Here is a 10,005-nt window from a genome sequence, read left to right on the forward strand (position 1 = left end):
TGGCTGCTGGTCTCCAGGCCTCCTCTGAGGAATGGCCTCCTCGGCCTCTAGGGTTGAATAAGGAGGAGGTGGGACAGCGTGTGGCCTGTGTTGGCACAGGGGTCTGGGCTCTTGATAGAGGGGTTGGGGGAGAGGCCGTCCTGTGCCTTGGAGGGGGCCCCTTCCCCATCCAATGGCCTCTCCGAGGTCTGGGCCTGTGTGGAAGTCACCGTTTTGTGTTTGTGTCATCTGGGTAAGCTGGTGTGTCTTTGTGTGTTGGGGTGGATGTGTGTGTGTGTGTGCAGGTGTGAGTGTAGGGGCACATCTAGGAAGGGTGTCAGGCAGTGTGAGTCAGCGTGTTGTGTGTGGCTGTGTGTGTGAGCAGGGGTCCGTTCTGAGAGTGCGTTGTGTACGTGTGTGTCAGGGTTTGGTATGGCGTTCACTGGTGTGTGTGTGTGAGTTGAAAGTCTCTGGTGTTAGTTGATGGGAGTGAATGTGAGACTGTGGGTGTATTTGGGGACGTGGGGGGTGGACTGATGTGTGTGTGTGAGCACACATGCAGCAGGGTTGGTGGGCGGTGTCCAGTGTGTGTCTGTGTGAACGTGTGTGGCCCTGTCACCGCCGGCTCCAGGCCCAGCCACATAAACTTCACACCCCTGCGGGCGGGCTCCAGCGGCCCCGCAGCAGCCGCGTAGGGCAATGGGAAGCAGATGGGCCAGGAAGGAGGCCATATGGGGCTGGGGGTGGGGGCGCATTCCTCCCTCCCAGGGCCGCCAGGAAGCCCCCTGCCTGCCGGCCCCCCCATCGGGGTGGGAGCTAGAACTGACACAGTAACAAATGTCCTGTAGCCAGCGTGGAGTCAGCGTGGAGCCGGCATGGAGGCAGCCCCCGCCCCACAGCGGGGGGTAGAGAGAGAGAGTATAAATGAGGGGGATCCAGGAGATGCCGGCGGGGAAGATGCTGCCCTGATAAGCCACACCTGACCCCACGGCTGTGCACCCTTGGGCGCCGCACATACCCCCTCCGGGCCCATTTCCTTGGCAGGGTGGCTGTTGGGGATGGAATATAGGGACGTTCCCCCCACCCCCCACCGCGCCCCCTCGTCCCCTCCCCCCCTCCCCCCGCCTCCGTTTCCAGACCAGGGTAGGACCCTAACTCCAGAAACCCTGGTAGATGTCAACAGCAACAGGGTAAGGAGCTGCTAACCTGGAACTTGACTGCATTCCGGCGCTGGGGAGTGGCGAAGAGGTGGGCTCTGGAGCCAGGTCTGCCTGGGTTCCAGTCCGTGCTCTGACACTTCCTGACTGTGTAACTATCATCTGGCAAGTCACCTCCTCTGTGTCTCAGTTTCTTCTCTGTAAAGTGGAGGTAATAATAAGAGCACCTCCCTCCCCGCAGGCGGTGATGAAGGAAGTGCTTGCTCATCCTAGGCCAATCCCAGGTTTTGGCCAGGCTTGGGGCTTCGTAAATGTTAGCTACAAGCACCAGCTCCTGGGGGCTTCCCACACCCCCAGGAGGTTGCCTGGACGTACTTTGCAGAGGAGACCAGAGAGGTCAGGTACTCGCCAGTTCACACAGGGTTTAAGGGGCAGAGATGGGTTCAAACCCAGGCCTTCCATCCCCGGCGCCTGCTCTCCTCACCACTCCTCAGGGAGCATGGCTGGCGCCTCCCTTCCCACCCTCTCCAGCTCCGCCCCTGCCCTGTCTAGGGTGAGCTGCTGGGCTGTTTCTTGTCACATCCAGATGAGAGCAGAGGCTGGGGCCCTCTTCCAGCTGAGACAAGGTCCAGGAGGTCGCTGGAAAGGCGGCAGGCTCCTCCCACTGTAACCCTGGCCCCGACGGTGGGAGCCAGCCCTGACTTTCAGGCCCTAATTAGATTTAGGCAGCTCTGGGTGCAGACCCTGGCTCCCCTCTCCCTGCTGTGTGACCCAGGGCAAGGGCCTGGAGCACTCAGAGCCTCAGGGGTATCCGGGGACAGGGTAGCAGGGACTCAGCCATGGGGAAACGGCAGCGACTGTTCTTGCAGCGAGTGTCTGATGAACGGCCCCTATTAGTTCCCCCCTCGTGGAGGTCGAGATCAGGCAGGGCCGGAGTGGAGGGAAGGGCTTAGAAGCAGAGCTTGCTCTGGGTGGCTTTGGCCTGGTCTGTTCACCTCCTCCAAGGCTCCCTTTCCTGTTTCCCAAAGCAACATCATCAGGCAGGTTTGTCGGGAGGCTTAACAGGATCATGTGAAAGCACTTGGCACATGCTAGGTGCTCAACCAGTGCTGTGTTGGCTTCTCTGTCTCTCTCTCTCTCTTTCTCTCTCTCTCTCTTTTTTTTTTTTTTTTTAATTGAGACAGGGTCTCACACTGTCACCCAGGCTGGAGTGCAATGGTGTGATCATAGCTTACTGCAACCCCCACCTCCCAGGTTCAAGGGATCCTCCTGCCTCAGTCTCCTGAGTAGCTGAGATTACAGGCATGGGCCACCACGCCCAGCTAATTTTTGTATTTTTATTTTATTTTATTTTTTGGAGACAGAGTCTCGCTCTGTCGCTCAAGGTGGAGTATAGTGGCAAAATCTCAGCTCACTGCAACCTCCACCTCCCTGGTTCAAGCAATTCTCCTGCCTCAGCCTCCCAAGTAGCTGGGACTACAGGCACCCGCCACCATGCTTGGCTAATTTTTGTATTTTTAGTAGAGACGGGGTTTCGCCATGTTGTCCAGGCTGGTCTGGAACTCCTGACCTCAAGCGATCCACCCACCGCCACCTCCGAAAGTCCTGAGATTACAGGCCTGAGCCACCGTGCCCAGCCAGTGGCTTCTCTCCTATTCTTGTCCCTTGTGGGCCCTTGTAGGGACATCTGTTTTAAGTTCCCACCCAGCATGGACTCTCCTTTCTCTGTGCCTCAGTCCAAGGGTTTTGGGTGGGGCATGCACTCAGTACTGACCAATCAGGACAACTGCATCCTCTCAGCCAATGAGAGACAGGCCTGGGATTTTTGCTGGACCCATGGGGAAAGAGGCACTTCGTTTCTATTGGGGTTGCTAAATGGGCTGGGTGGAATCCTGGACTTGGGGGTTCATCCTGCCTTGTTGAGGAGAGGCTTGGCTGAGTGGAGGCTGCAAAGATGGAGAGGAGGCAAGTCCCACGGATGAAATGTGAATGCCCAGATGCAATCATGCCTGGGACTGTTGTTGATTCCTGCTTTGTGGGAGAGAAACTGAGGCCAAATCCAAGGTCACAGAGCCAGGAAGGGGGCAGAACTGGGATTTGAACCCAGGCCGACTGGCGCCAGTGGCTGTGTCCTTAACCTCCAGACTCTACAGAGGCCTTTGGTATAAATCCCTCCCTGTAGCCTGAAATCCTCACCCAGCCTAGTTTTTGAGCTCAGCTATTTCTGAGCTTCCCAAGGGAGAATGTTTTCTGCCTCTGGCAGAAAAATCGGGAGAAAATGAAAGCCCTGTGGTCTGGCTGCAAACTCAATTTGGGCAAGCTTGGGACAAATGAAAATTCTTTCCTTCTTTCGTTCTTCCTCTTTCTCTCTTTCTCCTCTTTCTTTCTTTCTCCCCCTCCCTACCTCCTCCTTTCCTTCCTCTCTTCCTCCATCCATCCCTTCCTTCCTCTCTCTTCCTTCCCTTCTCCCTCCTTCCTTCCCTCCCTCCCTCCCTCCATTCCTACTCCTTCCCTCTATCCTTCCTCCTAACCCCTTCCTCACTCTCCTTCCTGTCTGAAATAAACCAGAGCTTACTCCAGCCCATCTCACATCCTGGTCCTGCTCTCACCTCTGCCTGGATGACTTGCATCTCTGCCCAGTTCCAAGCCTAGTTGGCCATGTTGGGCCCCAGTACAGCCATCACCAGTGACACCTATTAAAATGCAGATCCCTGGCAGGGCGCAGTGGCACATGTCTGTAACCCCAGAACTTTGGGAGGCTGAGGCGGATGGATCACCTGAGGTCAGGAGTTTGAGACTAGCCTGGCCAACATGGTGAAACCCCATCTCTATGAGAAATACAAAAAATTAGCCGGGTGTGGTGGCACATTCCTGTGATCCCAGCTACTTGGGAGGCTGAGGCAGGAGAATTGCTTGAATCCAGGAGGCAAAGGTTGCAGTGAGCCAAGATTGTGCCATTGCACTCCAGCCTGGGCAACAAGAGCGAAACTCCGTCTCAAAAAAAATAAATAAAATGCAGATCCTGGGGCCCCACACCAGCAGATGCATATTTGTGCGTTTGGGGCAAAGGCAGAGGAGATGAACACCCAGTGGACATTCAGATGCAGGTGGTTCTTGGGACACTGGGTGTCTAGGGTCTTGTAGGGCCTGGAAGACCAAGGTTAAAGGTTGTGCTTAGGGGCCAGCCATGATGGTTCATGTCTGTAATCCCAGCACTTTGGGAGGTCAAGGCGGGTGGATCACCTGAGGTCAGGAGTTCAAGACCAGCCTGGCCAATATAGTAAAATCCCATCTCTACTAAAAATACAAAAAATTAGCCTGGCGTGGTGGCAGATCTCTGTAATCCCAGCTACTCGAGAGGCTGAGGCAGGAGAATTATTTGAACTCGGGAGGCTGAGGCAGGAGAATTGCTTGAACCTGGGAGGCGGAGGTTGCAGTGAGCCAAGGTTGTGCCACTGCACTCCACCCTGGGCAACAAGAGCAAAACTTCATCTCAGAAAATAAAAGAAACTGAGTTTCAGAGTGGTCAAGCTTCTTGCCCGAGACCACACAGCTGGTGGGTGGCAGAGCTGGGACTTGAACCCAGGCATCTGGCTCCAGACTCTGTGCTCTTACTGGTACTGTAGGAAGCTTTAGTTTTGCTTATTTTATTCACTGCTGCATCTCCAGTGCCTGCCTTGTGCTGGGTCTTAATAAAGATTTGTTGAATGAATGAATGGATGGATGGATGAATAGATTGCTCATTGAAGGGAGTTGACTCAATTAGTAGGTGTTCTGCAATTGCTCTTTCTCTCCTAAATATGTTGTCTAGGCTGGTCTCGAGCTCCTGACCTCAAGCCATCCACCCACCTCGACCTCCCAGAGTGCTGGGATTACAGGCGTGAGCCACCGTGCCTGGCCGGGAGATCTTAGAGCAGTGCTAATCCTGTAGCAGAGTCCTGGCCTTCTCTTTCCACTCTGTGTAGCAGGGATAGTAGCAATCCCACTGCTCAGGGCTGTCATGACTTAAGTGAGACAGTGCCAGGGCTGTGCCCAGCACAGGAGTATATGCTCCATGAGCCGTAACAGGTTTGATCAGTTTCCCAGGCTCTTCTTTACTCTGATTTCCTTGTCTGATCCTATCTCCCTCTCAGGCCAAACAGGGCCACACATGGTGCCAGGCACACAGTAGTTGCTCAGGGAAGAAGGATAGCTACATGAGCGCTTGCTGTGCGCTAGGCTCTTTTTAAACACTCATGATCTGATCTACTTCTTCCAACAGCCAACAAGGAATGGACCCAGTGTTTGGCCCAGCAGACCCTCCATAAATGTTTGTTGAGTGACTGAATGAAACAGCGCTGGCTACATTGGCAGAGTGCCTGGCACAAGCTCTGCCAGCCTCCTACCTGCTGCCAGCTCACAGACAGGCCTGGGTTTCTACATCTGCCAGCGCTGCCAGGAGATGAACTGGCCTTGGGGGAGGTAGTTCCCGGCTGTGGAGCCCGAGGGAGCAAAGCTGCAAAGGAGGATTTTCCTCCACGCAGTTCAGCCTGGGCTGAGTAATTGCTCACTGGGTCTTGGTCCAGCGGCGGCCAGGGCAGGTAGGCATGGGGCTGCAGGAGTCACCAGTTGATAGCCAAGCCTGGAGTTCTGCCAGCCACAGCTCTAGGGCCCCTGGATGACAGCAGCATCCCGGAGATGCCACCATGAGCTCAGAGGGGTCCCATCACTTCTCTGAGCCTCAGTCTCTTGGTTGGCAGTTGCCCCAGCTCCATGGGGCTGTGTGAGATTTGAAGGGGTCCTGTATGTGAGGCTGGGACAGGTGTTATGATTGTGTGGAGGGCAGAAGCTGCCTGGAAGTGTGAAAAGGCCTCGACCTCAGATGCAGACAGGCCTGGAGGGCCTTGGGTGAGTCATTTCCCTCTGCAAGCCTCGGCTTCCTCCAGCCTGCTGTCATGAGCCAAAGAAAGGAGAAAGATGGTTCTCAAAAGCAGGAACTTTTGAACCATAAGTGAGAAAAGAGTAATAACCGTAGTAATAATGCCTATAAAAAAGGGCTTTCAATCACTCATTCATTTGTTTTTGTTTTTCTTGTTGTTGTTTTTGTGAGACAGAGTCTCACTCTGTCACCCAGGCTGGAGCACAGTGGCGCAATCTTGGCTCACTGCAACTTCCGCCTCCTGGGTTCAAGCAATTCTCCTGCCTCAGCCTCCCAAGCAGCCAGGACTACAGGCATGCACCACCACACCCGCTAATTTTTGTATTTTTAGTAGAGATGGGCTTTCACCATGTTGGCCAGGCTGGTCTCAAACTCCTGAACTCAGGTGATCCGCCTGCCTCGGCCTTCCAAAGTGCCGAGATTACAGGTGTGAGCCACCGCGCCTGGCCTATGAGAGTCCATTTTTATGTTCTCCATATTGTCGCTTGATGCTGTTTCTCCAGCTGCCTTTTTGGTGTCAGATTCACAAAGAAATATTGGCAATCTTAAAATTTACATTGATTCAATTGATTAAAGTGCCAGAGGACCAAAACATATGTTAGAGTATTTTTGAGTTTTCTCATCTGTCACACTTCTGTTCTTTGCCATATGTGAGTTTAATTCTTTAATATATTCACTAAAATGTTTTGTTTAATGTATCATGATTTTGAACTTATACTCTCTATTTGGGATGGGATAAGCTTCTCACTTGTCACTGATAGATCCATAAGTCTACAGGATCTCTGAATTCCAACAATACTTGGACTTATGTCCCTGGAGTGGACCCTGAAGTTCTATAACTAGGATGTGGTTAGGCCATTTGGAATTAAATGCTCTTTTGTTTTGTAGAAAATATTGATGTGTTAACTTTGTATGCAGTTTTTAAATGGTTTAGAATATTAGTAACTTGCTTTCATACATATTTTATGAAACAAAGTTCATTTTATAGTGAAGAATTCTTTGACTTGTGTGGTTTGGGTGAGAAACCAGTTTTCCTTCATTAAAAAAAATTGTTAAGTTTCCCTAAAATTCTATTTATTAAAAATAAAACTATCAAATTTTACTTAAAGTAAAAAACCTTACATATCTCAATTATATGGTATCAGTGTCCAGTATTTTGGACCTAGTAGACCATATTAGAGTTTACAATAGGGAAGGAAGGAGATACTGCCATTTCTTCAATCACTCATTCATTTTTGTATTCCTTCAGCCAGTACACTTTAGCTTCATTCATTCATTCATTCATTTAGAGAACATTATCGAACATTTATTTCCTGCCAGACTAGGATAGTCAGATTTAGCAAAAACAGGCTGGGCACAGTGGCTCACACCTGTAATCCCAACAGTTTGGGAGGCCGAGGCGGGCGGATCATTTGAGGTCAGGAGTTTGAGACCAGCCTGGCCAACATGGTGAAACCCCGTCTCTACTAAAAATACAAAAATTAGCCAGGTGCCATGGCTCATGTCTGTAATCCCGGCACTTTGGAAGCTGAGGCAGGTGGATCACCTGAGGTCAGGAATTCGAGATCAGTCTCGCCAACATGGCGGAACCCCGTCTCTATTAGAAATACAAAAATTAGATCATGAGGTCAGGAGATCGAGACCATCCTGGCTAACACAGTGAAACCCCGCCTCTACTAAAAATACAAAAAATTAGCCGGGCGTGGTGGCGGGCGCCTGTAGTCCCAGCTACTCAGGAGGCTGAGGCAGGAGAATGGCGTGAACCCGGGAGGCGGAGCTTGCAGTGAGCCAAGATCGCGCCACTGCACTCCAGCCTGGGCGACAGAGCAAGACTCCGTCTCAAAAAAAAAAAAAAAAAAAAAAAAAAAGAAATACAAAAATTAGCTGGGCATGGTGGCATGTGCCTGTAATCCCAGCTACTCGGGAGACTGAGGCAAGAGAATTGCTCGAGCCTGGGAGGTGGAGGTTGCAGTGAGCTGAGATGGCGCCACTGCACTCCAGCCTGGGCGACAGAGCGAGAGTCCATCTCAAAACAACAACAACAACAACAACAAAAGATTTAGCAAAAACAAAAACAAGAAGATCTGGCGAAGCATAGTGGCTCACGCCTATAATGTCAGCATTTTGAGAGGCTGAGGGGGGCAGATCACTTAAGCCCAGGAGTTCAAGACCAGCCTATCAGCCTGGGGAATATGGCGGAACTCCATCTCTACAAAAAAAAAAAAAAAATACAAAAATTTACCAGGCGTGGTGATTTGTAGCTGTAGTTCCAGCTACTCGGGAGGCTGAGATTGGAGGATCGCTTGAGCCTAGAAGATGGAGGCTGCAGTGAGCCATGATTGCGCCATTGTATTCCAGCCTGGGTAACAGAGCAAGATCCAGTGTCAAAACAAAACAAAACCCAACAAGATCAACAACAACAAACCCCAGAATGCCTAGTTAAATTTGAATTTCAGATAAACAACAAACACTTTTTTGGTAGAACTATGTCCCATACTCTATCTCTTAGTGCAAGTGTGTCCTATGCAACACTTGGGCAAGCCCGTGGGAGGTGTTTTGCCCGTGCAACCCCATTTCTTGCTCACATAGCCCTGAGAGGCGAGAATTATTGCCCGTGAGGAAATGGAGGCTCAGAGAAGTGTGTCCTTCTGCTCAGGCTCATGTGGACGGGCATTCTGGCTGAGCTGGGGGCTTCGGTAGAGTCCCAGTGTCATGGGCACTCTGTCACCCCTGCTCACTTCCTGGATGGCAGTTTCGGGAACAGAGAGCCCGTCTTGGCAGCCACCTGACACTTTCCCCTGCCCCAGCCCTCACCTGTTGGGGAAAGTCCCTATGGGTCACCCACAACTGGAGGCTGGTGTAGCCAGGATGCAGGCTAGGGAGTGGAGTGGGCAGAAATCCTAAGCTGTGCGGCGGAGGGGGCATCAGAGGGAAGGAGATAGGTGGGGCAGTGGTCCCCAAACCTACTTTGGCCACATAGCTTCCTGCCTGCCCCACAGCCCCTGGTCAATAATCGGCCTTGCTGACACTCCAGGTGGGGCCTGGGCAGAGAGAGGGCCCCTGGAGTCACCCCTCTCCCCACCTGTGTGTCGTTGGGGGAAGTCTTGGCCCCCCTCAGGGCCTGAGCCTCCACCTGTCTACAAAGAAGCATTCATTCATTCACTTATTCACACATTTATTCACTCATGTATTTGTGCTTTACTTCTATAGATATTTCTTGAGCACCTGTTACGTGTTGGGTTCTAGGCATGAGGCACAGGGATATGCCAGAAAATGAGACAGACTGAAAGCCTCGCTCTCATAGAGCGAGGTCTATGGTCTGATGGGGGAGACAGATCATAGAGACATAAGGAAGATAATTGTGGGTGGGAAAAGTGCTAAGATGGAAACAAGGCAGGGGAAGGTGATGGAGTGTGACTGAGACCGGGCAGTCTGGGAGGGCATCCCTGAGGAGGTGATATTTGAGCAGAGACCCAGATGGTAAGAAGGAGCCTGGCTGGGCGTGGTGGCTCATGCTTGTAACCCCAGCACTTTGGGAGGCTGGGGTGGGCAGATTATGAGGTCAGGATTTCAAGACCAGCCTGGCCAACACAGTGAAACCCCGTCTCTACTAAAAATACAAAAATTAGCTGGGCGTGGTGGCAGGCGCCTGTAATCCCAGTTACTCAGGAGGCTGAGGCAGGAGAATCGCATGAACCCAGGAGGCAGAAGTTGCAATGAGCTGAGACTGTGCCACTGCACTCCAACCTGGCGACAGAGCGAGACTCCATCTCAAAAAAAAAAAAGAGAAGGAGCCTGTCCAGGGGATGCGTAGAAAGGGAGCCTGGTGGGGCTGAGGTGGGAGAGGGGGGTGGGGGTGCATCACCTGGAGCTTCGAAGGTCGCAGTTAGAGATCCACTTGGCTCCTCCTTTGCTTTGTTCAGACTCTGTGTCACCTCCTCTGAGGAGCCT

The 10,005-nt window shown here is 52.1% G+C and overlaps 1 annotated feature.

Moving 5' to 3' along the window:
* Nucleotides 1,323–2,050: an enhancer, noted in NCBI's record as "H3K27ac-H3K4me1 hESC enhancer chr20:48632321-48633048 (GRCh37/hg19 assembly coordinates)". NCBI's record gives its function as "activates a minimal SCP1, AML or CMV promoter by ChIP-STARR-seq in naive and primed H9 embryonic stem cells {active_cell/tissue: H9 hESC(naive and primed)}" and the evidence as "EXISTENCE:reporter gene assay evidence [ECO:0000049][PMID:30033119]".

Source organism: Homo sapiens, chromosome 20 (assembly GCF_000001405.40).
Source record: "Homo sapiens chromosome 20, GRCh38.p14 Primary Assembly".
Lineage (NCBI taxonomy): Eukaryota > Metazoa > Chordata > Mammalia > Primates > Hominidae > Homo > Homo sapiens.